The following is a 26,875-nucleotide window of genomic DNA, read 5'->3' on the forward strand; positions in this document are numbered from 1 at the left end:
TGGCCGAGCGAATGTCGTTCGCGTCAGGAGAGCACGTCCGGAGAAGCCAAGGGAAATGTGGAGCAGGAGCAGCCAAAGTGGCCCATCGGCTCTCGAGCAGGGTTTGCGCGTCGCGGTCGCAAAGCCCCTGTGAGTGCAGGTACCGCGGCACAAGCGCTGCCCCGGAGCTCCAGGAGGCGGCGGCGGGCTCGGCGTTCGCGGTCCAGGAGAAACCACCGCGGGGTGTTGGGAACATTTTGTTAAAAAGCCGGGAAGCTCAGGGCCGGTGTGGCCTCCGTTCTGGCCTGAGAACCCGGACTTTGGGCAGCTTCTTTTCCTTGCCTTTGGGTCTCCGGCTTTCTCAGCTCTGTGAGGTCCCATGGGTCTCCTGCCCTGGCAGGTTCCTTCAGCTGGAGAAAGCGGGGGTCATGGCTGGATGAGGTTGCGGTAAGCATTAGAGGGCTATCAGCAGCATCTTATCGCAGCGGAGCCTTCGATAGCTCAGTTGGTAGAGCGGAGGACTGTAGTGGATAGGGCGTGGCAATCCTTAGGTCGCTGGTTCGATTCCGGCTCGAAGGACTTCGTCTGTAATTTTTAACCTCAATTTAATTCAATTATCCCATAAGGGGAAAGGCTTGGAGGCCTCCTGTGACTTAGCATTCGTACTGCCGTCAGTCCATAGGGAACACCGTAGTATGTAGTATACGGTAACGCTCTTTCTGCGTTCAATGTACATGTGGTAACGTGTTTTAGAATGTTTTCTGCTTAAGCACACGATTATATGCTTGATTTTTAGAATCTTGCACATGGATGCCACTGTATTGTACTCTGCTAAATAAATGTCCTGAACTGTGGTTGATCCACTGGTCAGTGAACAGTGCAGTGAACCTGTAAGGCAAAGGGAAAGAACTAAGCAGCAGGCGGGGGATTAGCTCAAATGGTAGAGCGCTCGCTTAGCATGCGAGAGGTAGCGGGATCGATGCCCGCATCCTCCACTCAGCTTTTGCGTCCGTCACACTACAGAACACAAAACGGGAGGGATTCCCGGCGCAGTGGGCTACGTGTTTCATTTTAGAGACACAAGACTGTTAAGCGATAAGGAGTTTCACACGATGTCTTTTTATTTCGCAGTTGAGTCCCAGTTTCTGCCGCTTTATCTTTCCCGCCTCCCGGCAGGCAGGCCGTTAACCGTCTTCCGGAAGACGCTGCTAGAACCCTCCGGCCGCTCCTGCCCGCCATCGTCCCCGAACGACACTCGCTCAGGTACCCACTAACGTGCGAGGAACCCTGAGAGCTGACCAATGGTAGCGAGCTTTACTGGGCGGGTCGCCAGCTGCAGCCACGGCCAATAGGCGAGAGACTTCTTGTTTCCTGGCAGAGCGGGGTCCCGGCACCGCGGCGCTCGGGTGTTTTTGGGGGCCCGGGTGGAGGGCCCGGGTGCCGGGGCCCAAGGTGCGGCCTCGCTAGCGGGAGAGGGAGCGGGATCACCGGCCCGGAGAGAGGTGAGGGGCTCTGCGCGGACTACGGGCCCCGCCAGCCCCGGCCCCGCCAGCCCCGGCCCCGCCCCCTTCTCTCAGCCCCTTGAGCCCGAGCCCCTCGAAGGCCACCCCGCACCCCGCTCCCGACCTGGCTTACGCGGTCCCGACCCCGCCCAGCTCCGTGGCCTCACCTCTGACTCCTAGGCCCTCCCTGCCTAATCCCCTGCCGCGGGAGCCCGTCTCGACCCCTTCCATGCCTCCCAGTCCCACCCTGCCCAGGGCAAGCCCGCTCGGTGTGACGGTTCCCCGCGAGTCGAGGGTGGAGAAGCCAGCCTCCTTCCCCCGAGTGGGACTCTAGCAGCCCACCTCTTTTAGGGGTGCTGAGAACACCCATTACTCATCCACAGCTACTAGGGTAGCTTTCTCAGGGTGCAGTGCTTACGGGGCGGAGGGGGATGGAAACAGACCCATGCCCTGGCTGGAAGGGAGCTCCAGTCGCTAGGTGAGCCCAGTAGCCTTTGGCTTGGCAGAGGCACCACTGTTATAGTTTTTCTCCATACTAGGCATAAGGTAGGAACAAAAAAGGAAGAACCAGCCCTTCCAGGGCTCAGGGGAGCAACACCAGAATGTCCGCTCAGTACTTGTGAGGACAGAGGCTGGAGAGAGGACTACCCATTTACACTCAGAACCTCGATTCCTCTCTCTGCTCTGTGCTGGAGAGTGCAGAGCCAGAGATCCAGAACGGCCCATCTCTAAAGGTGGCCATGTATGGTGGTGAGTGTATCTTGGCTAGGTTTGGAAAATCTGACCTCTCTGATTATATTCTCTAATCTTTGGGCTGCAAAGCAGCTGAGAGTTTAGTGTTTTTCAACATAGTTAAGCCACTGAGTTTTATTTGGGAACAGCCAAGCTAAAGTAAAATGGGGTCCCTTTAGGTCATTTACAACCCTTAGTGTTGGGGTACAGAATGCTGCTTTCTCTTGGCCTTTGCTGGAAGACCACTTCTATGTTTTCTAAGAGGGAGACAGCCTTTTGTTTCATAGGGCACTCCCTAAGAATAGCTCTTATTTATCAAGAGATACCCAGAAAACTCTTCGATTTGTCTTCCCTTTCCTCCTTAACCTAACCCTTGTTTTCCCCCAGCTCTCAGGGCCAGAGCGGGGCAGGAGGATGCTTTCCCAGCCCCACCATGGAGCTGCGCTGTGGGGGATTGCTGTTCAGTTCTCGCTTTGATTCAGGGAATCTAGCCCACGTGGAGAAGGTGGAATCTTTGTCCAGTGATGGGGAAGGGGTAGGAGGTGGGGCGTCAGCCCTGACCAGTGGCATTGCCTCTTCCCCTGACTATGAATTCAACGTGTGGACCCGACCAGACTGTGCTGAAACGGAATTTGAGAATGGGAACAGGTATATGGAACGAAATGGAGGGTGGAAAAAGGCTCCAAACCCATGCTTCAGTTAGCCCTCTGACTTATCTGTTCATACCCAGCATACTCCCTGTCCATTTCTGACCCATCGTCCCTCCTTTCTCCTTGCCAAATAGCCCTTTCCCAGTTTGGCTGGCTCCGGCTCTCCCACAGACCATATCTCCAACCCTTCCACACGTAATGACCTCTCTCTTACTCTGGTCCTCAGGTCATGGTTCTACTTCAGCGTCCGGGGAGGAATGCCAGGAAAACTCATCAAGATCAACATTATGAACATGAACAAGCAGAGCAAGCTGTATTCCCAGGGCATGGCCCCCTTTGTGCGCACACTGCCCACCCGGCCACGCTGGGAACGCATTCGAGACCGGCCCACCTTTGAGGTAAGTTCTCCATGAGGAGGAAAGAAAGACTTGGGTGCTAAAAGTAGAGAGGAAAGTAAAGCGTTTTTTTTTCCTTGATACAAGTATGAAGCAGGTGGGACAACAGGTTTAAGTATCAGCTTTTTCTCCAGTGTTAGCTAGAGTCCAAGATGAGCCCCTGCCTCAGGAAGCCTAGAAGGAGCCACTTTTCATATAGAAAGTGTCACAGGGAGGGAAGTTGGTAAAGGTGATAAGGGTGTGAGGTCAGTTCCTGGTGGTCCCAGTAGGAGCTCAGTTCTGACAATGGCATGTTGCCCCTCCCTCTTCCTCCTCTGCTCTTCAGATGACAGAGACGCAGTTTGTGTTATCCTTTGTTCATCGTTTCGTGGAGGGCCGTGGGGCCACCACCTTCTTCGCCTTCTGCTACCCCTTCTCCTACAGTGACTGCCAGGAACTGCTAAACCAGCTAGACCAGCGCTTTCCGGAGAACCACCCTACCCATAGCAGGTGCCAGCCCCATTCTTACTCCTGCCACACAGTCCTGGATCAGACAGCACCTCCACTACTTCTGGAATTTGCTCTTAGAGCTCTGAACCATACTTTCATCCGTCTTTTTTCTGTACAGAATGTACAGACAGGACTTTGGGTACCTTTGAAAACTATGTTTCTGTATGACCCTGATCTCAGCATATCGACACCTGCCCTCCACTCTTTCACCTGCCCAGTTCAGACCTCTTACTAGCCCAGCTCCCATTAATTATCCAGAGTTTAGCCAGCATTATGTGACTCAGTATACCTTTTTTATCTGCCCCCACGGAGAACAACTCCGACTACATTAAGTAATCTATTCTAGGAAGCCACAAACTGGGGAACAACAAGTTCACCCTGTCCTGTACTCTTCATTCTGGCAATGTAAACCCACTCAAATCCTTAGCCTCATTTAACATTGTGAGGGACTATAAGGCCCCAAAGGTTAGGGTGAAGGACCAGATTTTACAGATCCTGGGCTGGTGACAAGGCCTACCTCTTACTAGGACTTTAGGGACTTCTCCTGGCTTAATTTTTTTTTCCCTGTAGCCCCCTGGATACCATCTATTACCATCGGGAGCTCCTTTGCTATTCTCTGGATGGACTTCGTGTAGATCTGCTGACGATCACTTCCTGCCATGGGCTTCGAGAAGATCGAGAGCCCCGTCTAGAGCAGCTATTTCCTGATACCAGCACCCCTCGACCATTCCGTTTCGCAGGCAAGAGGGTGAGTGGAAATAGCATAAAGGTAGTTCTTTGGCTTTTCTCTAGCACCAGGTACTGTTTATAGCTAAAGACTATGTTATCTCTAGGCATCTTGGACATGGCCTCCGCCCGCAGCGTGCGGCAAGGGTGATGGCCCCTGCTCCACTTGCAGATTCAGCCAGCTGGAAATCCAGCGGCTATTCCTGCCTCATCCATGACACCCCCCATATACTGTCAAAGTAGAACTACAGGGTAACTGACTTAATGTCTGCTCTCCTCTCTACCTCAGATATTCTTCTTAAGCAGTAGAGTACACCCAGGGGAGACTCCATCTAGCTTTGTCTTCAATGGCTTTCTGGACTTCATCCTCCGACCTGATGATCCCCGGGCCCAAACCCTCCGTCGCCTCTTCGTCTTTAAGCTGATTCCCATGTTGAACCCCGATGGTGTGGTCCGGGGACACTACCGGTAAGTGGCTTCCCCAGCCTGTCTGGACTGTTCCCATTTCCCCTCATGCCCTGCATCTCAGTGAAATTCTGTCAGCCTTCTGGCTTCTGTGTTCCCAGTCCTCTTGCACCCTAATAAAGGCAAGCCCATCTCATCTTCCTGAGAAAGCATGAGATCATATCTAGTGGCACTCCCAGAAAGGAACCAAACTAGGATGACTGCAGGCCCATCTGGGTGGAGGCAGCTACCCTGAGGAAGCTCCTTAGGGTTCTATGGTAAGGGTGACAGCAGATCAAAGAGAGGCCCTGTCTTCAATTCTTTCTTTCCTAACATAGCTTCAGCCTCTCATTTGATAAGTCAGTCTCCTACGGTCTCCTTTTCATCTACACTAGTGTCTCCTTCACTGGCCCAGTCCTCTAGAACCTGCTTCAGTCCTTGTTTTCCTACAGCACAGACTCACGTGGAGTGAATCTGAACCGTCAGTACCTGAAGCCTGATGCCGTCCTGCACCCGGCCATCTATGGGGCCAAAGCTGTGCTTCTCTACCACCATGTGCACTCTCGTCTGAACTCCCAGAGTTCCTCTGAGCACCAGCCCAGTTCCTGTCTCCCTCCTGATGCTCCTGTTTCTGACCTGGAGAAAGCCAACAATCTCCAAAATGAAGCTCAGTGTGGGCACTCAGCTGACAGGCATAACGCTGAAGCCTGGAAACAAACAGAGCCAGCAGAACAGAAGCTCAACAGTGTGTGGATTATGCCACAACAGTCTGCGGGGCTTGAAGAGTCAGCCCCTGATACCATCCCCCCCAAAGAGAGTGGCGTTGCTTACTATGTGGACCTGCATGGACATGCTTCCAAAAGGGGCTGCTTCATGTACGGAAACAGCTTTAGTGATGAGAGCACCCAGGTGGGAATCCTAAGAATGTCATGTGAGTGTGAGAAGTGTTACAGGTTAGGAGATGGGGTTAGGCCATGAACAGAAGGAAGATAGCCTTAGGTAGCTTTCTGGAAGGAAGGCCTGTGTAGACTACCTCTGAAAAAGCTTTGAAGGGCCAAGAAGAGATGGCACAGGGGGATAATGTCTCAATTGTTACATCATGACCTTTTATTAAGGAAAGCTAACTGCATTATAGTCTGCTAGAGTCTGGGAATCCAGAGAAGGAAAATTTTGCATTGTTGGAGGGAGGAAGCTAAAAGCTTAAAAAAAAAAGAATTGCTTCCCAACACCTAGAAGTAATGTCAAACTGAGAATTCAGGCAGCACTGATTACTGTTAATGGTTGTGATGGTATCTGCTGTGTATTAAGTCACATGGTCACATACTTGCTATCTCTTCCTTGCACCTTGTCCCTTCTGTCTCTCCTTCTGAGTTGACTTTTCTTCCCCAAACAGGTGGAAAACATGCTATATCCAAAGCTCATCTCCTTGAATTCAGCCCACTTCGACTTCCAGGGCTGCAATTTCTCAGAGAAGAATATGTATGCCCGAGACCGTAGAGATGGCCAGTCTAAAGAGGGAAGCGGCCGTGTTGCAATCTACAAAGCCTCAGGGATAATCCACAGGTTGGGTGGAAGCTGAGATATAGTTGATGAAATAGCTTCCCTAAAGAAAACACCGTAGCTGGGTGTGGTGGTGCATGCTTGTAATCCCAGCTACTGAGGAGGCTGAGGCAGGAGAATCGCTTGAACCTGGGAGGCAGAGGTTGTGGCGAGCCGAGATCGTGCCATTGCACTCCAGCCTGGGCAACAAGAGCGAAACTCCGTCTCAAAAAAAAAACAAAAAACAACACCCAGTTCAGGGTGTTTGAGAGGGAGGGAACCACCTTAGTCTTCTTAAAAGAGAACCTCACAATTAGCATTATTGTCTTTAGTCTAGGACTCTACCTTGGGGGGACTCTCTGGGTATATGGTACAGTACCAAGGTCAGCTGCTAGTTGCTATGGATTATTAGCACTTTCATTTGTGTTCACTTTTTTCCAAGTGATTGCCTCCTTTGACCACCTAAGTTGTCCTCTATGGTTCTGTCCTGGTATCTGTTCAGGCGGGACACTGATAAAGGTCTTTATGTCTTAGCTACACACTTGAATGCAACTACAACACTGGACGCTCAGTAAACAGCATCCCTGCTGCCTGCCATGACAATGGGCGTGCCAGCCCCCCTCCCCCGCCGGCTTTCCCCTCCAGATACACTGTGGAACTATTTGAGCAGGTATGAATACATGGTGTAAGTGGGAAAAGGGAGAAACCTTACAGTCTGGAAAGGCCTTCACTCTTAGTGCCTGACTCTAAGGTCCTTTGAAGAGATATTCATCACTATGGCCGTCTCACCACTATGATTATTTTCCTCAGTTAACAGGAGCATAACTACAACTGTAATAGTATTGAAAGGATGAACAGGCACTATATCTGACCCCACATCACAGAGAATCCCCTAGCACCTCTGAGTCAGATTCTTTGCCTCTGGGCTTGTCTTTCTCATTCTATTGGATTTATTAGTTTCTGGGCTCAAAAGCACCCTGACTGTAGTGGTCTTGATGATTCCCATTATCCTAATAGAAAGAGCTGGCCAGGTGCGGTGGCTCATGCCTATAATCCCAGCACTTTGGGAGGCCAAGGCAGGCGGATCACCTGAGGTCAGGAGTTCAAGACCAGCCTGGCCAATATGGTGAAACCCCATCTCTACTAAAAATACAAAAATTAACTGGGCATAGTGGCACATGCCTATAGTCCCAGCTGCTCAGGAGGCTGAGGCAGGAGAATCACTTGAACCCGGGAGGCAGAGGTTGCAGTCAGCCGAGATCACACGCCACTGTACTACAGCCTGGGCAATAGATCAAGATGCCGTCTCAAAAAAAAAAAAAAGTAGATCTGTAGGTTACAGAAGGGATTCAAACCCCTTTCCTGCTAGGAGAATTCCTTCATGGCACCAGCCAGAAAGAAAGGACACACTTTGCCCCTCATAATGGAAGAGGGCCCCCAAATTGGCGGTAGTTTAGGGAACAGCTCCAAATCCGTTTGCAATAAACAGCCTGGGCACAAAGGTTAGGGCATCCAATGAGCAAATTATAGGTCTGGCCCCTCCTTCCCTTCCACTGTGCTGTGTACCCACCCCAAGGTAGCAGCCTGGATGGGAGGACCAGCATGCTGAGCCAAACTGGACTACCCCACAGGTGGGACGAGCTATGGCCATTGCAGCCCTGGACATGGCGGAATGTAATCCGTGGCCCCGAATTGTACTGTCAGAGCACAGCAGCCTTACTAATCTACGGGCCTGGATGCTGAAACATGTACGCAACAGCCGAGGCCTAAGCAGCACTCTGAATGTGGGTGTCAACAAGAAGAGGGGCCTTCGAACTCCACCCAAAAGTCACAAGTAAGGCCAGCAAAATAGGAGGGAGAAAGGGTAGGACAGTGGGACAGGGCTCTAGAGCTAGGAGTTCCAAGGGATTTATATTCCTTCCATCCTCCTCAAAGTGCCAAATGGCAAATATCTTCAGGGTAAATTAAAATTAGTCAGATTAGTTTATTCTTTTAGAATGGGATCCTCTTCCCTTTTATTCTGAGCTACATACACCTAAGAGATCTGAGTATCAGGCTTGGGATTCACTGCTGCAGAGCCCTGTACAAAATCAAATATAATTGCAGTGGGGCAGGCCTCAGCTTCCAAGGGTTGTGAATGACTGACTGAAGGGAGTTCAAGGGTCAGTGCCAAGGCAGTAGGGGTGAAATTCATTGGGAGATAAAGCTGCTCAGGGATGGCCCTTAAGACATTTTGAGATTAGCTGGTATTCCCCAGGTTAGATACTTCATCCACGGACATGAATTCCTCACTTCTTCCTTGGGATGGGTCCCTGTGCCTTTTTACCCCAGAGGTGAAGCTTTACTGAGCAGCAGATCCTAGGGAAAGCCTTAGGACACAACCTTCCTGGCCCGGGTTAACTGGCATCTGCTTCTTTGCAGTGGGTTGCCTGTCTCCTGCTCCGAAAACACCTTGAGTCGGGCACGAAGTTTTAGCACCGGCACAAGTGCCGGTGGTAGCAGCAGCAGCCAACAAAATTCTCCACAGATGAAGAATTCCCCCAGCTTTCCTTTTCATGGCAGTCGGCCTGCAGGGCTGCCAGGCCTGGGCTCTAGTACCCAAAAGGTCACCCACCGGGTGCTGGGCCCCGTCAGAGGTAAGCCAGTCTGGGAGCCCCTGCAACATGTGTTCGGTTGTCTGGGGCATTGCTGGGGGAAGTAAGAGCTTGAAGATATACTGTTGGCCCAGGACCAAGGGGTGAATCAATAAAATTAGTTTGTAGCAGAACCTGTGGCCTCTCCTACGACCTTGGTGTTCCCTGCGGCATGATTCCAGAGCGGTATTGTGTGTGGCCAGAGGGGGAAGTCTGGGTATCTGGGCTTCAGTGCATGCTAGGAGCCAGGGAAGTTTCCAAGGATGAAACACTAGCTGAAGCAGTGCCAAACAGGACATGGAGCCTCCACGTCACGGACAATGTCAGTCTGTCTTCATGGGGGCAGTTAAGGGAATGTCCTCAGAATCCAAACTGCAGTACTGTAGAATGATGGGGAATCTTATCTGTGGTCTTTATGGGCTGAAATTTTTCCTGGCTTCAGAGCTCATTAAGGAAGTGATACCGGGCTGGGTGCAGTGGCTCATGCTTATAATCCCAGCACTATGGGAGGCTGAGGCAGACAGATCACTTGAGGCCAGGAGTTCAAGAACAGCCTGGCCAACATGGCGAAACCCCGTCTCTATTAAAAATACAAAAATGAGCCAGGCATGGTGGTGCACACCTGTAATCCCAGCTATTCAGGTAACTGAGGCAGGAGAATCGCTTGAACCCAGGAGGCAGAAGTTGCAGTGAGCCAAGATCGTGCCACTGCACTCCAGCCTGGGCAACAGAGCAAGACTCTGCCTCAAAAAAAGAAAAGAAAGTGATATCAGAAGGATTCTAACTCTTCCAAAGAAAAATGGAACAACTGCAGACAATTTCTTTTCTAGGTATAAAATGCAGCAGTCTAGCTCTTTCCAGCAGTGAGCACAGTTGCTTAACTGTGCATTAGTAACCCCCAGGTTTTGCCTGATGAGACCCTGCCTGATAAGATTCTGGGTCAAAATTATATACCAGAAACAGATGGGCCTTTAGGGAAAAAGAAGAGAAAATTAACGGGAGTAACCTGGATTGCGGAGGGGGAGAGATTGTTATAGTGCCACTTCTGGAAATACGCTAAACCACAAATCAATACTGTACTGGCCTCTGCACTACAGAAGTCTTGCCCAGAGTATGGAGGCTTGTCAGCTGGGGCTAAGAGCTTTGCTGGTCTTCCAGCATACTCATCCTTGTTAGCTTTTCCCAGCTTGCACCCTAGCTGTTGGTACAGACCAGACATGTGCTGTGTCAGTGGCTGTGTAAATCTGACTGCTAGTGAGAGAAGCCATGGAGGAGAGGGCAATGGTCCTTACCAGCTGTGACCATTGAGATATTCTATCCCTGACAGGCAACTTGATTATCTGCTTCCAGGCCCCATTGTTTGAGAGTCTATCTTCATCAGGAAAGGACACTTGTGCACTGTGTTTGAAAAATAATAATAATGCCTTATGTTTACATAGCATTTAACAGTGAACAAGATAATATCATATATATAAATTTCATTTAATCCTCACAAAGACGCTATGGGATGGATGTTGTTTCCATTTTTCCAACAAGTAAACTGAGGCTATTTAAGAGTGGTTTCTCCAAGATTGCACAGCTGTTCCAACTTGTATCTTCTCATGCTCCAGTGGCCTAGTTTCCCATGGTAAATCTGCTTAAAGTTTTTCTTCTGTTTCTTTTCCTTTCCTTCTTTTTTTGAGACAGAGTTTCACTCTTTCACCCAGGCCGGAGTGAAGTGGTGTGATCTCAGCTCACTGCAACCTTCCACCCCCTGGGTTCAAGCGATTCCCCTGCTTTAGCCTCCCGAGTAGCTGGGATTACAGGTGCATGCCACCACATCCAGCTAATTTTTTTTTTTTTTTTTTTTTTTTGAGACCGAGTCTTGCTCTGTTGCCCAGGCTGGAGTGCAGTGGTGCGATCTTGGCTCACTGCAACCTCTGCCTCCCAGGTTCAAGTGATTCTCCTGCCTCAGCCTCCGGAATAGCTGGGACTACAGGCAAACGCCACCACGTCTGGCTAATTTTTGTACTTTTAGTAGAGACGGGGTTTCACCACGTTGGTCAGGCTGGTCTTGAACTCCTGACCTCGTGATCGCCTGCCTCGGCCTCCCAAAGTGTTGGAATTACAGGCGTGAGCCACTGTGCCCGGCCAATTTTTGTATTTTTAGTAGAGACGGGTTTCACCATGTTGGCCAGGCTGGTCCTGAACTCTTGACCTCAGGTGATCCACCAGCCTCATCCTCCCAAAGTGCTAGGATTACAGGCGTGAGCCATTGCACCCAACCTCATTCTTTTTTGGTCAGCCTCTTCTAGCTCTTAACTCATAGTTCCTGGGAATTCCTTCATCAGCATCCTAAGTTCTCCTTTCCTGACTACAAAGGGAAATAGTAAAGAGCTTTTTCTAGGTTGTCACTGGAATATTCTAGGCCCCTCTTTTTTTTTTTTATTTGAGATAGAGTTTCGCTCGTTACCTAGGCTGGAGTGCAATGGTGCAATCTCGGCTCACTGCAGCCTCTGCCTCCTGGGTCCAAGCGATTCTCCTGCCTCAGCCTCCCAAGTAGCTGGGATTATAGGCACCCGCCGCCACGCCCAACAAATTTTTTGTATTTTTAGTAGAGACAAGATTTCACTATGTTCGCTAGGCTGGTCTTGAACTCCTGACCTCAGGCGGATTCACCCGCCTCAGCTTCCCAAAGTGCTGGGACTACAGGCATGAACCACTGTGCCCATCTAGGCCTTTTTTTTTTTTTTTTTTTTTGAGACGGAATTTCACTCTTGTTGCCCAGGCTGGAGTGCAATGGCATGATCTCGGCTCACCACAACCTCCTCCTCCCAAGTTCAAGTGATTATCCTGCTTCAGCCTCCCAATTAGCTGGGATTACAGGGATGCACCACCACACCCGCTAATTTTTTTTGTATTTTTAGTAGAGACGGGGTTTCTCCATGTCGGTCAGGCTGGTCTTGAACTCCCAACCTCAGGCAATCCACCCGCCTCGGCCTCCCAAAGTGCTGGGATTACAGGCATGAGCCATGGCGTCCGGCTAGGCACTTTTTAATCACTATTTTATTGACATCCTCCCTGCCCCGCTTCCAATGCACAACACTGCATTGAGCCCCCTGAGGTGAAGGACATGTATTCTATTTCTCTGTTACTTCCCCCTACCAATAGAAAATATGCACAGTCAGTACTAAGTAATTCCTGGTTGATTGACTTGAAACTTAATAGGGGAAACAGGACAGTAAATACAACATGAGAGCGCACAAACACTGTAAACATCCTGAGGGTTTGGGGAACTACTGTGGTGGATAAACACAAGAGTAATTAGCCAAAGAATGTTCAGTTAAGAAATAATTTGAAAAATAGGTAAGACATAGTTTGACAGAAACATTCCCAAAGTGAGAAATGACAGCCAGGAGCAGGAACAGAGCTGGTGGGTGGAGAGGACAAAAAGCTTGTGTACCTAGGTGGGTATGCAAAAGGCCAAGCCCGTCACCAAGGATATTAGGTGAAGAGAGCAGTAGCTGAAATGTCTTGAGAACAATGATTATGAGCTTAACTGAGACAATGGCAACAACTGTGTGTTTCTACAAATGGGAATAAACGTAAGACTGTGTAAGACACTGTCTGTGAACTGTACATATTGGACAGGAAACGGGGTGAGATGACCAGAGCCAATACCAGCATCTGGAAAAGAGAGATAAGTATTAGAAAAGGGGGCAGGATTCAGTGATGGTAGAAGACAGAGGAACTAAGAGGGCTTTAAGGCTACTTTTTCCACTGCAAACAAAAGCTTCAGGAAGTGTCTCCTAACACATCTACTTATGCCCTTAGCATCTAGTCCTCTGCCTGCCACTTAGTAAGTGAACAGCAAGTATTTGTTGAATGAATAAAAAGCAAGAAGTTGGGAACCAAATGAATGCTTGTCTCGGCCGGGCGTGGTGGCTCACGCCTGTAATCCCAGCACTTTGGGAGGCCGAGGCGGGCAGATCACGAGGTCTCGAGGAGATCGAGACCGTCCTGGCTAACATGGTGAAACCCCATCTCTACTAAAAATACAAAAAATTAGCCAGGTGTGGTGGTGGGTGCCTGTAGTCCCAGCTACTCGGAAGGCTGAGGCAGGAGAATGGCGTGAACCCAGGAGGCGGAGCTGGCAGTGAGCCCAGATCGCGCTACTGCACTCCAACCTGGGCGACAGAGCGAGACTCCGTCTCAAAAAAAAAAAAAAAGAATGCTTGTCCCACCTTTCTACCCCTCAGAGGGCATAAATCAGGTCTGTGATTGTCCCAGGGATTCACTAAGATCTGGAGTGCTAGGGACGGTTCCAAAGACGTTCAGGGAGGATGACACACAGGACCTTGGCACAAGTCAAGTAACTGCTGCTGTAAACAGTGAGACCTTAGAACACCCATTCTGACTCATTCAAGGGGAGATCAGTCTCCCCTCAGACCTCTTAGACCTTTGCCCAGTACTATCCTACCACCCCCAAAATGGAACATCTGGCTGGTTGCCATAAGATACCATTTCATAACCTCTGGAAGCAGAGCTGATCACATCACTCTTGCACTCTTGCTTGTTCTTTCTCACTTGCTTTTACCCTTTCCTGGGGTAGGGTGAAGGTTTGTCCCTTAATATGGTTTCAGCATGCCTGTGTGTGTAGATATTTCTCAAATTATCTAAACTATTTCCTCTATCAAGTTCATGATTTCTGCCTACTGTGCACTGTCAGCTGGACATCATCCTGACATCCATTTTAATCACAGAATTACTTGGCTCTGGGCCCTAGACTATCTCTGTCATTGGTGGTAGCTAATGTTTTAGGTTATTTGACTATGGCCACGAGTCTTGACTTCTGTTATCCTATTGGCAACCTGTGCCAACAACTCTCACTAGCCCCCTAACATCTGGTTGTTTTTGACTTTTTTTTTTTTTTTTGAGACAGTCTCGCTCTGTCACCCAGGCTGGAGTGCAGTGGCGTGATCACAGCTCACTCCAACCTTCGTGTCCCTGGCTCAAGTGATCCTCCAGCCTCAGCCTCCCTAGTAGCTGGGCCTACAGGTGCACACCACCACACCTGGCTGATTTTTGTATTTCTTTTTTTAGTAGAGATGGGGTTTCACCAAGTTGCCCAGCCTAGTCTCAAGCTCCCGGACTCAAGTGATCCAGCCGCCTCAGCCTCCCAAGGCACATGAGCCACCGTGCCTGGCGTTTTTGACTCTTGACCACCGTCTTAACCTATAATTGGTACCCAGCATATCTCCTCATAATAGAGTAGCTTCCATCCTGAGATCTCTCCCTTTCTTCTTTATTCATACAAGTATCGATTTTTTTTTTCCATTCAATTTTTTTTTTTTCCATTTTGGTTTGGAACCTTTTTTTTTTTTTTTTTTTTTTGAGACAGTCTCACTCTGTCGCCCAGGCTGGAGTGCAGTGGCCGATCTCAGCTCACTGCAATCTCCGCTTCCCGAGTTCAGGTGATTCTCCTGCCTCAGCCTCTGGAGTAGCTGGGATTACAGGCGCTCACCACCACGCCTGGCTAATTTTTTGTATTTTTAGTAGAAACGGGGTTTCTCCACGTTGGTCAGGCTGGTCTCGAACTCCCGAACTCAGTGATCCGCCTGCCTCAGCCTCCCAAAGTGGTGGGATTACAGGTGTGAGCCACCGTGCCTGACCTGGTTTGGACCTTTCAAAAGTATTCTTGTCACTGCCTGCTAATTCCCAGTGTGGCTGGGAAGATGAAGTTACTGTCACTTCTTAAGTTAGAGGATTTTCATATCCAACACGTTTATTAATGGTCAGTTGGCATGCTGGCACCTCTGGTGAATTCAGTTCTATGAAAAGTTAATAGCCCATCAGTTTGAGAGCATTTGGCACCTGCTGTTCCTCTGTGATGAGGAAGGACACGCCAAAGCTGCAAGCCTCCCTACCCCATCCATTTACCATCTGTCCCCCTGGGCCCCACCCTTCAGAACTTGTAGTAATAAGTCTCGAGACATGAGTGGACCAGAGACAGCTGCCCCAAAGGATATAACTGTATGCCTTTAGACTCCCACAGATGATTGATCCAGCTCATGGTGTCTGCTGTTCAAGTAAACAAAACATTGATTAAGGTCTCTGGTTTTTCAGGCAGCATTTTACAGGCACTGGGATATATAGTGTTGGAGGCAACAAAGTCCCTACTCCCAAGAAACTCAAGTTCCAGTTAGAAAAAATATTAGCTTATGTTTATTGAGTAGTATGTGCCTTTAAGTACTTTACACATACTAACTTAATTAAACAGAAACCATGAACTACTAGCCACACAAACAAAGGATGAAGGTAATGAGAAGAGAACAATTAATGTTGCCTGTAATGGTCAAGTAAGCTTCAAGTAAGAGAGGTAACATTTGAGATGGGACATGAAAGATGGTCATGGTTTCACTAGAAAAGGAAACAGTTCCAGAGGAACCACACACAACTAGTAGCCATGGGGTCTATAGCAGAGGGTATGAAGGATCAAATCAGCATCCTACTAAGGATTTGCAGACTGGAACTATAGTGGGCAAGGCTTTGAATGTGTAGTGTTCAAAAGTTTAGACTTCATCCTTTAGATCTTCAAGCCCAGTGCAATGGCTCACACCTGTAATCCCAGCACTTTGGGAACTGAAGCAGGAGGATCGCTTGAGCCCATGAGTTCCAGACCACCCTGGGCAACATGGTGAGACTCCATCTCCACAAAAAATTTAAAAATTAGCTGGGCTTGGTGGCGTGTGCCTGTTGTCCCAGCTACTTGGGATGCAGGAGGTCAAGTTTGTAGTGAGCCATGTTCATGCCACTGCACTACAGCCTAGGTGACAGAGTGAGACCCTGTCTCCAAAAAAAAAAAAAAAAAAAACCTCAGGTGAATGCAGAGATAGAATTGTAGGATTTGATTACACAAATGCAAATCTAAGAGAGGAATAGTAGAAAGATGAAACAAGGTTTCTAGCAGTTGGGTTTTGCATGAAGACAGGGAGAATGAAAGAAAGGGAGAGAATGAGTTTTGTTTTGTCAAGGGGACTTTCTTGGGAAAAAAATCTCCAGTGGACAATTAGAGCTGGATTTCAGGAGAAAAGGGCTACAGAGTGATTTGGGAGTTTAAGAGTAAGTAGAGCAGGAGAGGCCCAAGGACAGAATGGTGGGGAAGACTTGACATTTAAGGGGCAGGAAGAACAGCTGGAAGAGAAGCAATCAGTGGTAAGAGGGGAACCAAGGAAAGCTGTGTTAGCCAAGCTCAGTAACTTCTTTGCCAAAAGAATAAACTGGCCAGGTGCGGTGGCTCACACCTGTAATCCCAACACTTTGGGAGGCGGAGGTGGGTGGATCTCTTGAGCCTAGGAGTTCAAGACCAGCCTGGGCAACATGGCAAAACCCCGTCTCTACTAAAAATACAAAATTTAGGCTGGGCGCGGTGGCTCACACCTATCTGTAATCCCAGCACTGTGGGAAGCCAAGGCGGGTGGATCAGAAGGTCAGGGGTTTGAGACCACCCTGACCAACATGGTGAAACCCTGTCTCTACTAAAAATACAAAAATTAGCCAGGCATGGTGGCATGCGCCTGTAATCCCAGCTACTCGGGAGCCTGAGGCAGGAGAATCGCTTGAACCCGGGAGGCGGAGGTTGCAGTGAACCAAGATCGCACCACCACACTCCAGCCTGGGCAACAAAGCGAGACTCTGTCTCAAAAACAAAACAAAAAAAAAATTAGCTGAGCATGGTGGCGGGCACCTATAGTGCCAGCTGCTCAGGAGGCTAGGTGGGAGGATCACCTGAGCCTAGGAGGCTGAGGCTCGGTGAGCCATGATCGTGCCATTGTGCACTTCTTCAGCCTGGATGACAGAGTGGAAACCTTTAAAAAAAAAAAAAAAAAAAAAAACTAGCAGGATGAAGGCTGGTGGAGAATGGATAACTGTAATAAATAGTAGGTCTTTCTACCCATCTTATATTAATAGTTACTTCAGGAGAGGGATGTGGGTCTGATGACAAGCTTGAAAACTGGCATCTTTTGACCACGGAAGCCAGCAGGTCAGTGAAGGCTGCCTCATAGTGCCCCACTTATTTGCCCTTTTATCTGCTTGTATCTCTTCCACTCAGAGCCCCGAAGCCAGGACAGGAGACGGCAGCAGCAGCCCCTGAACCATCGTCCTGCAGGCAGCCTCGCTCCATCCCCAGCTCCTACTAGTTCTGGCCCAGCCTCCTCACACAAGCTGGGCTCCTGTCTACTGCCTGATTCATTCAACATACCAGGTCTGTACCCACTGCCACTGAAATCTGGGTTTGCCAGCCTCCTCCATGGCCAGGCCAGGTTCTTTAAGCCTAGTTGGGAGACCAGGGGCATCACTTATCCTCTTGGTATCCTAAACCTCTAACACTGGTGCCTTTGTATAGGAAGCTGGAATTTATTAATGTGTCTGTGTAATAAAACAATAGTTAACATTTACTGAACATTTACTATGTGCCAGGCACTGCTCTACACACTTAATCTCATTTTATCAGTTGAGGAACCTGAAGACTTTTGTCTACCTGCAAAATGCTACTTATGCAAATTCCCTGACTCCAGGAGCTGGGCAACACTAGACAAAACAGGAGAATGAAAAAAGCATGACGGTACTTTCTCCTGTCAACACTGCTAAATGCTGTGTGTAGCCGTATCATTCACACAAAGCCATCTCTTCTCCTTTAAATTATAGACCCAGCTATATAAAGAAAGGGATGGGAATGATTTTAAGACTCTAGTCCAACATGTTCTACCTCATTCAAAGACCCCTACTCCCAACCTGTCAACTCTCCTCAATGGGTAGCACTGAACCCACCAGTCCTGGGTAGAGCTGACTTGATCCTCAAATGCTAAACATATGATTGCGGCAGTATAAACTGACACAGGAGTTAAGCTTGGGTGCGTTCCGATTCTAGCCTGGAGTTGCTGCTCCACCCCTTGGACCACCAGACTAGAGCCTCAACCAGGGGTGATTTTGCTGCCAGGTGACATCAGGCAACATCTGGAGACATTTTTGGTTGTTACACTGAGGAGGGGGGAGATGAGGAAACAGCATAAATTGTTTAGAGGCTAGGGATGCTGCGAAACATCCTACAATGCACAAGACTACTCCCCACGATAAAGAATTATCCAACCCAAATTGTCAACGTGCCAAGGTTAAGAAACCCTGATCCTTTGGAAGTTACCTCCTCTTCTCTGTGACCCCTACCCTGATCAGTTTCCTCTGTTCCCTAGGGAGCAGTTGCTCACTCTTGTCCTCTGGAGACAAACCAGAGGCTGTCATGGTAATCGGGAAAGGTCTGCTAGGGACTGGAGCTCGGATGCCCTGCATCAAGACTCGATTGCAGGTAATATTTTTGGGTCTCCAGCATAGCTACTCTGGCAGAACCCAGCAAGGCACTGTTCCTCTGGGTAGTGGGAGGGAAAATGCTCAGCACTGCTTTACTGCATCTACCCTTGGCCACATCAGAGAGCTTCTCTGGTGCCTGAGTGCCTGTCTGTCCAGTCCCCTTCCTGCCCTCCACCATCCCCATCAGCCAGGTCATTTGCTTGCTTTCAACCTGTGTCCCTGCCAGATATACCCCAACCTTAGCCTGCTAGCTTTGGCTTTCCCTGCCCCTGCCCTTAGCTTCTCCTCTCTTTCTGCCCAGACCTGTCCGAGGAGAGTTTCCGCCAGGAGGGGTCCCGGATTCCCCAGGTAACACATTTGGTTGCTGCTGCTAGGAACAGCCCTGCCACCAACTCCGATTCAGTCCAGATCCCCATGCTAGGTAAAGCTGAGTATAGGCAGAGGCTGACTGGATGGGTGAAGTGTACACTGCTCTGGCAGGGGCTAAAGCATAGAGGGCTCTGAGAGAGGTCTACCAACCCTCCACTATCTTTCTACACAGTGTTTCTCTACTCACCCAGACCTTAGTCATGGTGTAGCCATGGCGGTTAAATGCTGGATCCGTTTGCCACCCCTAGTTATAGACTTGGAGTGCATAGTCATGGACTGAATCCAGGACTTCTCTGGCTATTATCTTGCCTCACCCTCTCAGCTAGAATTCAATGTCCCAGTACCTCTACTGATCCCTATACTACAACACTCTTATGCATGGAAACTCTAGAAGCAAACTAAAAGCAAAAAACTCATGGAAGAATCCAGCCTCTTAGCGCAAACCCTGTCCACACAGGCTAGGCCCAGGTTGGGCCGGGGCTCACCGCCGACTCGCAGAGGGATGAAAGGCTCTTCAGGCCCCACATCCCCTACCCCCCGGACCAGGGAGAGCAGTGAGCTGGAGCTGGGATCCTGCTCTGCTACACCAGGGTGAGCACTTGGGTCCAGTCCCTCACACCACCCCTCACTTCTGTCCCCTCATTCCCATTTCTGTCATTCAGAATAATTTTCTGCTTCCCTACTCCTTTTGAGCACAAAGACTAAATGTACTTCCATTAAGAATCTAGTCCCTGATTTTTTTTTCCCCCACCATGGCCAAGTCTTCAATCCAAAGCAAAAGAAAACAACTTTTAGTCAGGGCCTAAGGTCTAGGAGCTGGCTGGTTCCAGCGTCAAACCACTGTGCAGTAACCAACTTGCCCATCCTTACCCATCTTCATCTCGCTCCACTTCTTTCACTTCCCAGCCCCTGGTTAGCAGAACAGAAGAGGAGGAGAGTTTTCACAGCCCTGATTCCTCTCTCTTTTCTGTTGCAGGCTGCCTCAGGCCAGGCCCCCACGGCCCCGCTCTGCCCCTGCCTTTTCTCCTATATCCTGTAGTCTATCTGACTCCCCATCCTGGAATTGTTACAGCAGGGGTCCCTTGGGCCAACCTGAGGTTTGTTTTGTCCCTAAATCTCCCCCACTGACTGTTTCTCCCCGGGTCTGATAATGCCTTTATGTTCAAGCCCAGGATATAGCCCCAAGATGGGGTAACAGTGGGAAATATGCTAGTTCCCCTCCAGGCCGCTGATTCCATGTGACAGCCGTTAAGTCCTTGGAATGCCAGCCACGCTGTCCAAGGCATTACAGAGTATCACCTTGAGACAGAACAAAACAGGGACCTGCCACCCCTTCCCTCCCTCCGCAGCACAAGATTTTGGGACCACAAAAAAAAGTCTATATTTTTATATTGGGGGGAGGGAGTAGAAAAGCAAGCCCCTATACTGGGCCCTATTCAGTGGCAGCTTCTTGTTCCATAGGATTAAGGAAGACTCTGAGGAAATAAAAGTTGTTTGGAAAAATCCAGGTGTAGTTGCTTTGTATGTTGTGATGGGTAGAAGGGATGAAGTGAAGTGTGAAGGCCCCTCATACCCTCCATCTTGCCTCAGACTATGTCCTGGAACCCTAGAAAAGAGGGGGAAAGACCTGAGGTAAGGAAAATGCTGCAGCTTTCCTCTGGGGAATCCTTCAGGAAGTAACGCCCATCCATGTTCCCTTTATACTTGTGACCCACACTTAAGGCTGGCTCCAAAGCCCCCCCTTCCTTCTCTATAGTTTGGGTCAGCAGCCAACCCCTGGCCTCAGAACATGGAAACAGAATTCTACATCTGTCACCCCCCTCACCAAAAAAAATCTGCCCAAATAAGGCCTAAACAACCTGGGGAAAATGAGGGCTATTTAAGAGCCCAAATCCTCATACTTGGATGGTTCCCTCGGTACCTTCGTTCCTACCGGTGTCAGTGCCTCCTTACAACTATACTCCCAACTTGGGCATCTACCTACTGGAGACTGTGAGGGTTAGGCAACCCACTCCCATTCTAGCAGGGAACAGGTTACGGGGAGAGGACAGCGCGCTCTCTCTCTACTCTGTGCAGACAAAGGGGCCCAGTTCTGGACTGTATCATGCTTGGCCCGACACTTTCTGATTGTAAGTTTCGAACCCTGCTAGCCCTGGCGCGGCCTCGCCACTCAGCTCTGGGGACTGGGCGCTACAGCCCCGGGCCGTTACCTGGGGCGGAGAAAGCGCCACTTTCATTCCTGCTTCTTGGGATTGTTGACGGCCACGTAGTGATAGAGAACGACAAGCAAGAAGAGCGACACGCCCAGCATGTTGGCGAAGATGGCGAGCTGCACGTCCGTGATCATCCTGCGGAGAAGAGAGGGGCTGAGCTGCGGGCTGGCGCACTCCTCGCCCTCGCAAGAACCCGTCCTCGCCCCACGGGCCAGCCACGGCCACGGCCACGGCGGGGCTGGCCCGTGGGACGGCCCCTGCGTGCCTCTGACCTGACCAGTCCGGCTCGGCTCCGACGCCACCAGCGAACAAGCCCGAAGTCAGAGACCTGGACCGGAACTTCGTAGCGCCAGCTCAGGCCCGAACAAGCCGCTTCCGGCGGGGGGCGCGGTCGGGACGGCCTCTCTAGCCCCGCCGTCTCGTCGGCTCCGCGCGGCGCGTTACGGCCGCGGCTGGGGCGGGGCCTCGGGCGCGGCTGCGGTGGGAGGTCCAGCCGTAGGGGGTGGGGCGGGGCTGCGGACGCGCGCCTGGGCCCGGCACCGCACAGCTGGCTGCAGCTGGCGTGGCTCGGGACGCGGCTAGCGAAGCCGTGGTGGCCGCCTCCCCGGAGCCGAGGAGTGGGCTGGGGCGAGGGTGCAGCGGCGGGGCCGGCGGGATACTCCAACCCCCTTCCGGCCCCGGCCCTCAGTACTGCTGCCCACCCTTCGCTTCCCGGCCCGGCCCAACCAGGTGCTTCCTTTGGGTCCTGCCCTCAGTGCCCTCTCCCTGGCCCGGACGGCGGGGACAGGGGTAGGAGGCGTTGTAGAATGGGGACAGGGCTGGTGCTGCCGGGTGCTCCTTTCTCCGGCGCCATCCTTTGTGACCCACATGCAACCAAGTAGAACCATCCTGCCTTTTGTGATCTGACCAGGTTCTGTCTTAGCCGGGCTCCCTCCCTCCACCCTACCCCCCGGAGGTGGGCGTCGGAAATAGGGCGGACCCTCCCGGAATCAAAACCCAAACCGTGGGACTTCGGCCAAGTGGGAAATCACCCCCCGGATGTGGGGGAGGGAGAAGGGGAGGAATGGAGAAGAGGAGGAAGGGCTGGGACAAGCAAGAGGGGTCCTGGGTTCAGGACAGATTAGGTCGCCGAAGAGAACGAAGAGCGGTGGCTGCGGGTAGCCGAGGGTCTCTGGCGAGGGGAGAGGCACCCTGGAACTCTCCAAGCCTCTGCCCAAGCCAGAGCTTTCTCCCCCCTCACTCCATGCTTTCTCTCAGCTTCACCATAAAAGGGAACGGCACTGAGCCAGGCCGGGGCCGGGGGCTGGGCTGTTGCTCTGGAGCTGTCAGGGGTAATGGAAGCCAGTTGCTTTGCGGTAGAGGGGGGCCAGGGCTCAGGGGAGGCCTCTGCTTCTCGGAGCCAAAGAAAACTCTACAGGAGATGCTATGGGCTTGGGACAGGGGACCAGTTTCCCGCCTGTGTGCACTGAGCTGGGGATGCACTATCCCAAAGTAGCCTTCCCGGGCCTGGGACCATCAACAGCTTGTCACCCAAGGGCTTCAGCCCCGTGGCTTCTAAACATAATCCCTGCCTTTAGTAGTCTGTAGTTCCCGTGGCCTCCCCGCACCTCACCACCAGCCCCCACTCAATATTTCCCAGAAGCTTGATATTTAGAAAGCCGAGTCCCCTCCACACAACACTGGTGAAACCCCAGACAGGTACTCCCTTATGCATCCCTCAGTAAGCGGTCTGTTTCCAGCTCCTCTCTGGGAGAGTAAGGGTCTAGGTCTTAAGGATTACACGTCATTATGCTTCATGTCTCCTGGAAATTTGAAGCAGATCCAAGTCCAACCAAACACTTAGGTCTACTGTTGAATCAGAACTAGCCCTCCCTTTTAAAAATAAGCTCTACCTTTAGGCCAGCCCTGGAAGTTAAACTTTCTAGACTGAAAATGACAGGAAAGCAAGCCTTGAAAGTGCTTAAAACCAATTGACCCAGGTGCATAGTATCCTAGACTATCAGAGCCGAAAGGGGCCTTCAAAATCATCTTATGAAGAAAGAAACTGGCCAGGCATGGTGGCTCATACCTGTAATCCTGACATTTTGGGAAGCCAAGGCGGGAGGATCACCTGAGGTCAGGAGTTCGAGACCAGCCTGGCCAATATAGTGAAACCCCATCTCTACTAAAAATACAAAACTTAGCTGGTGGTGCATGCCTGTAATCCCAGCTACTCAGGAGGCTGAGGCAGGAGACTTGCATGAACCCAGGAGGCGGAGGTTGCAGTGAGCCAAGATTGTACCATTGCACTCCAGCCTGGGCAACAGAGAGAGACCCTGTCTCAGGGAAAAAAAAAAAAAAAAAAAAAAGGAAGGAAACTGAGGCCCAGAAGGTAAAATTTCACCAAGTTTCTAGAAACTGGTGAAAGAGCAGTGTCACCTCTTCCTCCTACCTCCACTCCATGTTCCAGGTCAAACTGTGGACTCAGTAGGTTGTCCTAGGGTTAGGCACAAGAAGGAAAGGATTTATTTTAGGACCACCCAGAAATTCATTCACCTCACAGAACTTCCTGTGCCTAGGTCAGTGGGTCTTTATCAGCTTTGGATGGGTCATTTGGCCCAGTGCCTGGAAGAACTGAAACAAAAAACAGTCTATGAGACTGAACTAGACTTAACTAAGAACTGACAAATCTCGAACCAAGCTTGGATAAAAAAACTACGTGGGAAGTGAGACAGGCACAGCCTCATCCTGGGGGGATTTGGGAGGATGTGGAGGGAAATGACTGGGGGGCACTTGTGGAGCTCAATCTCTGTGATTAGTGTGACATTTTCAAGGAAAGGACATGAGGCCAGGATTAGGCTCAGGAGTGAGAAAGCAACAAGACCTGGGAGAAGGGGAACTGGGTTCAGGGAGGTCGGCTACTAAAGTATTAAACCTGGAGGAAGAGCTGAAAGGAAAAGTAAAGTGCATCTCTTTGGAGAAAAGTGGGCTTTTGCTCAAGACTCCCCACAAACTTGAAGTCCCATGTGGATTGGCATGACCCAAGGCCCAAATCACTTTTTTTTTTTTTTTTTTGAGATGAGTCTCACTCTATCACCCAGTCTGGAGTGCAGTGATGCGATCTCAGCTCATTGTAACCTCTGCCTCTCAGGTTCAAGTGATTCTCCTGCCTCAGCCTCCTGGGTAGCTGGGATTACAGGAGTGTGCCACCACACCCGGGTAATTTTTGTATTTTTAGTAGAAACAGGATTTCACCATGCTGGCCAGGCTGGTCTCCAACTCCTGACCTCAAGTGATCCGCCTGCCTCGGCCTCCAAAAGTGCTGGGATTACAGGCGTGAGCCACTGTGCCAGGCCCCAAATCATATTATTCCCCCTTTTTCCCTCCCAATATTCAGTCCTCTGACAGAGAGGCTAGACATAAAATGCTCCTTATTGCTGGTGCCCACGGCTGTCCTGACCCTGGTCATGAACTCTTGCTCAGTCAGTGAAGCTGAATGAATGAGTTCATTGCCATGTAGGGCCAATTGGCACTAGATGCTTGGAAATTACCCACCTTGGAGAGGTTGTAAAATAGATCATGTCCTAGTGCCACCAGCAACTTAGCTTTCTGGGGGGTCAGGAACTCTTACCAATTGCTTTGGAAATTTATGGCTGCCTGCCAGTACCACCACCAGCATGTCACTGCCACCATCACCACTACCACTGCACTCTAACTTTAGGCTCCATTGCACCCTGCTTGCCCACTCAAGCCAGCAAGGGGAAGCATCCTCCCTGGTGAACTCAGAGCCACTGATATGTTTGTGATTTCACAAACATTCATGACAGCTCCTAGGTCTCGTCTCCTAATTACATAAAGGCAAATGAAATGCAACCTACTGCAACTATATTTCAAAGCCAACATTTTTCACTGGATACACTTAAATTATACAATAGATTTTTGAATTTCAGAGGGTAGGAGAGGGAATGGGTAACAATTGGGCAGTGACAAGATGGCTGGGGTGACTTTTCAGGTTGCCAGAGGCTTCCTAAGGGTGAAGAGAGGGAGAAGAGCAGAGAGAGAAAACCCATAGCAGCAGCTGGGGCAATCTGGAGGGGAAGTGGGTTGGCTTCCTGCCAGGGCCAGAGCCAGAGCCTAGAGACCAGGGACAAAGCTGCAACCTTCCACCGAAAACTTCTTTGAAATCGGGATCTCCTGTGAACATTTCCTTCAAATCTCCCTGTGTGCTGATCCCCAGGGCTCTAAGGGGCAACTACAAATTTCCATTTCTGTTTGTTCCAGCATTTACTTTCACCAACCACCACCCCCCTTTTTTTTTTCTGAATCAGTCTCACTCTGTTGCACAGGCTAGAGTGCAGTGGCGTGATCTTGGCTCACTGCAGCCTCCGCCTCCTGGGCTCAAGTGATTTTCGTGCCTCAGCCTCCTGAGTAGCTGGGATTACAGGCACACACCACCACACTGGCTAATTCTTGTATTTTTAGTAGAGACAGGCTTTCGCCATGTTGGCCAGGATGGTCTCGAACTCTTGACCTTATGGGATCCACCCACCACGGCCTCCCAAAGTGCTGGGATTACAGGCATGAGCCATCGTGCCTGGCCTAATTTTTGTATTTTTAGTAGAGATGGGGTTTCACCATTTGGCCGGGCTGGTCTCAAACTCCTGACCTCAAGTGCTCTTCCCACCTCAGCCACCCAAAGTGCTAGGATTACAGGCGTGAGGCACCACACCCCGCCTGACCCTGTCTTTTCACAAACATTTCTCTTAGCCATCAAGGTCACATTCTGGGTCATAGGACATCAGAGGCAAGATGGTTCAGAGTTACATTGATGATTTGATGGCATTCATTCTCATGGCTTCCACCTATTGCCCTGCACATGTTGGAAGAATCAGTGGCCCACCATTGCTAACAATCCTAGACACTGGTTTCCACTAGGATGTGTTACTCTCATCTTAAATTCAGTATCTTCAAACTACGATCACTTTTCTTTCCTCCAAACCTGCTCTCTTCCCGACTTCCCCATCCTGGCTCAAATGCTGGAATCTTCCCTCGTGTCTCCCTTCATCTGGTCCCTCATTACTCAGGCAGTCACCAAGCCTCATTACTCAGGCAGTCACAAAGTTCCCTGCCTATCCATGGTCACTGTCACCACCAGAGCCCAAGTCTGCATCACTTTGCAATGTAGAATTTGGAAGGGACTTTAGATGACACATAGACTCCCAGTGGTGTCATGGGATTTGCTGGGTCATAGTGACAGGAGGAGCTGGGGCTACATTGCCTGTGTTCTGACACCGTATTCAGCGCTCTCACCCACAATACCTTCTTTCGTGTATGTGTATATGCTTCTACTCAAAAACTTGCAATACAACCTCATAACCAGTCATTTGAGCCTCTCCCTAATTTGTCCACAATCTACCTCTCTGAATTTCGGTCCCATTTTTTCCTGACACAAAAAAAAGAGCTAACATTGATTGAGCATTTACCATTTGCCAGACACTGTTCTAGAATGCTTTACATGCACTGACTTACTTAATCCTCACAAAGTGGGATGGAGAGTCCTGTTATTCCTGTGTTACAGCTGAGGAGACTGAGGCAGACCGCTCTTCCTGAGCCTGAAATCTCTCTCCTTGCCTTGTCTCTGTTCTTGACTCCTGCCCCCCACCCCCGCCCCCACCCCAATGCTGTTCAGCTTTTGTCTTTTCCAGCCTCTCCTCTGACTGTCTCCAGCAGCCAGCTGTCTTTTCCCTCCTCCTAGCTGGAACACACATCATCCCTCTGTCCTGCCCCTTGGCACTTTTTCTGTCCTGGCTTGTGACGGTTCTCTGTTTGGGGGCTTGTGTCCCATTCTCCAACAACCTCAGTTGCTCCTTAGTGGACAGC

At 50.3% G+C, this 26,875-nt stretch overlaps 2 protein-coding genes and 2 non-coding genes across 15 annotated transcripts, besides 11 other annotated features; 3 read left to right on the forward strand and 1 right to left on the reverse strand.

Moving 5' to 3' along the window:
- Positions 52-20,306, forward strand: AGBL5 (AGBL carboxypeptidase 5). 12 transcript variants are annotated; one of them, NR_138023.2, is made up of 16 exons: positions 1,111-1,242; positions 2,601-2,861; positions 3,090-3,261; positions 3,584-3,747; positions 4,318-4,495; positions 4,763-4,941; positions 5,370-5,826; positions 6,311-6,480; positions 6,991-7,126; positions 8,088-8,290; positions 8,878-9,092; positions 17,182-17,334; positions 18,320-18,432; positions 18,736-18,782; positions 19,261-19,394; positions 19,780-20,306. NR_138023.2 is itself a non-coding variant. In XM_011533012.3 (16 exons), exons 3-16 carry the CDS (start codon positions 2,647-2,649, stop codon positions 19,949-19,951), a joined length of 2,661 nt encoding a protein of 886 aa, XP_011531314.1. In that variant the 5' UTR covers positions 1,356-1,481; positions 2,021-2,231; positions 2,601-2,646; the 3' UTR covers positions 19,952-20,306. The 12 variants fall into 12 exon arrangements, 10 of the variants coding, with proteins under 10 accessions (XP_047301332.1, XP_047301333.1, XP_011531313.1 ...); NR_104246.2 differs by lacking the exon at positions 1,111-1,242 and adding an exon at positions 1,356-1,481; XM_011533012.3 differs by lacking the exons at positions 1,111-1,242; positions 18,736-18,782 and adding exons at positions 1,356-1,481; positions 2,021-2,231.
- Positions 107-396: an enhancer, noted in NCBI's record as "active region_15484". NCBI's record gives its function as "activates an Ori minimal core promoter by ATAC-STARR-seq in GM12878 lymphoblastoid cells {active_cell/tissue: GM12878}" and the evidence as "EXISTENCE:reporter gene assay evidence [ECO:0000049][PMID:35858748]".
- Positions 470-558, forward strand: TRY-GTA2-1 (tRNA-Tyr (anticodon GTA) 2-1). Its single transcript is given in 2 exon segments — positions 470-506; positions 523-558. It is a non-coding gene; the product is annotated as a tRNA-Tyr (tRNA).
- Positions 567-796: an enhancer, noted in NCBI's record as "active region_15485". NCBI's record gives its function as "activates an Ori minimal core promoter by ATAC-STARR-seq in GM12878 lymphoblastoid cells {active_cell/tissue: GM12878}" and the evidence as "EXISTENCE:reporter gene assay evidence [ECO:0000049][PMID:35858748]".
- Positions 567-943: a biological region, named in NCBI's record as "Sharpr-MPRA regulatory region 11838".
- Positions 649-943: a silencer, noted in NCBI's record as "tiled region #11838; HepG2 Repressive non-DNase unmatched - State 1:Tss". NCBI's record gives its function as "represses a minimal TATA promoter and a strong SV40 promoter by Sharpr-MPRA in HepG2 cells {active_cell/tissue: HepG2}" and the evidence as "EXISTENCE:reporter gene assay evidence [ECO:0000049][PMID:27701403]".
- Positions 902-974, forward strand: TRA-AGC8-1 (tRNA-Ala (anticodon AGC) 8-1). Its single transcript has one exon. It is a non-coding gene; the product is annotated as a tRNA-Ala (tRNA).
- Positions 1,111-1,610: an enhancer, noted in NCBI's record as "H3K27ac hESC enhancer chr2:27274291-27274790 (GRCh37/hg19 assembly coordinates)". NCBI's record gives its function as "activates a minimal SCP1, AML or CMV promoter by ChIP-STARR-seq in naive H9 embryonic stem cells {active_cell/tissue: H9 hESC(naive)}" and the evidence as "EXISTENCE:reporter gene assay evidence [ECO:0000049][PMID:30033119]".
- Positions 1,111-1,786: a biological region, named in NCBI's record as "H3K27ac hESC enhancer GRCh37_chr2:27274291-27274790".
- Positions 1,347-1,786: a silencer, noted in NCBI's record as "silent region_11280". NCBI's record gives its function as "represses an Ori minimal core promoter by ATAC-STARR-seq in GM12878 lymphoblastoid cells {active_cell/tissue: GM12878}" and the evidence as "EXISTENCE:reporter gene assay evidence [ECO:0000049][PMID:35858748]".
- Positions 1,807-1,856: a silencer, noted in NCBI's record as "silent region_11281". NCBI's record gives its function as "represses an Ori minimal core promoter by ATAC-STARR-seq in GM12878 lymphoblastoid cells {active_cell/tissue: GM12878}" and the evidence as "EXISTENCE:reporter gene assay evidence [ECO:0000049][PMID:35858748]".
- On the reverse strand, positions 20,160-21,342 carry OST4 (oligosaccharyltransferase complex subunit 4, non-catalytic). Its single transcript, NM_001134693.2, has 3 exons — positions 21,289-21,342; positions 21,014-21,151; positions 20,160-20,409 (listed from the first exon to the last, which is right to left on the reverse strand). The coding sequence occupies exon 2, from the start codon at positions 21,148-21,150 to the stop codon at positions 21,037-21,039; it is 114 nt and encodes a 37-aa protein (NP_001128165.1). The 5' UTR covers position 21,151; positions 21,289-21,342; the 3' UTR covers positions 20,160-20,409; positions 21,014-21,036.
- Positions 20,821-21,060: an enhancer, noted in NCBI's record as "active region_15486". NCBI's record gives its function as "activates an Ori minimal core promoter by ATAC-STARR-seq in GM12878 lymphoblastoid cells {active_cell/tissue: GM12878}" and the evidence as "EXISTENCE:reporter gene assay evidence [ECO:0000049][PMID:35858748]".
- Positions 21,111-21,810: a silencer, noted in NCBI's record as "silent region_11282". NCBI's record gives its function as "represses an Ori minimal core promoter by ATAC-STARR-seq in GM12878 lymphoblastoid cells {active_cell/tissue: GM12878}" and the evidence as "EXISTENCE:reporter gene assay evidence [ECO:0000049][PMID:35858748]".
- Positions 22,491-22,550: an enhancer, noted in NCBI's record as "active region_15487". NCBI's record gives its function as "activates an Ori minimal core promoter by ATAC-STARR-seq in GM12878 lymphoblastoid cells {active_cell/tissue: GM12878}" and the evidence as "EXISTENCE:reporter gene assay evidence [ECO:0000049][PMID:35858748]".

The sequence above is a fragment of the Homo sapiens genome, chromosome 2 (genome assembly GCF_000001405.40).
Source record: "Homo sapiens chromosome 2, GRCh38.p14 Primary Assembly".
Classification (NCBI taxonomy): Eukaryota; Metazoa; Chordata; class Mammalia; order Primates; family Hominidae; genus Homo; species Homo sapiens.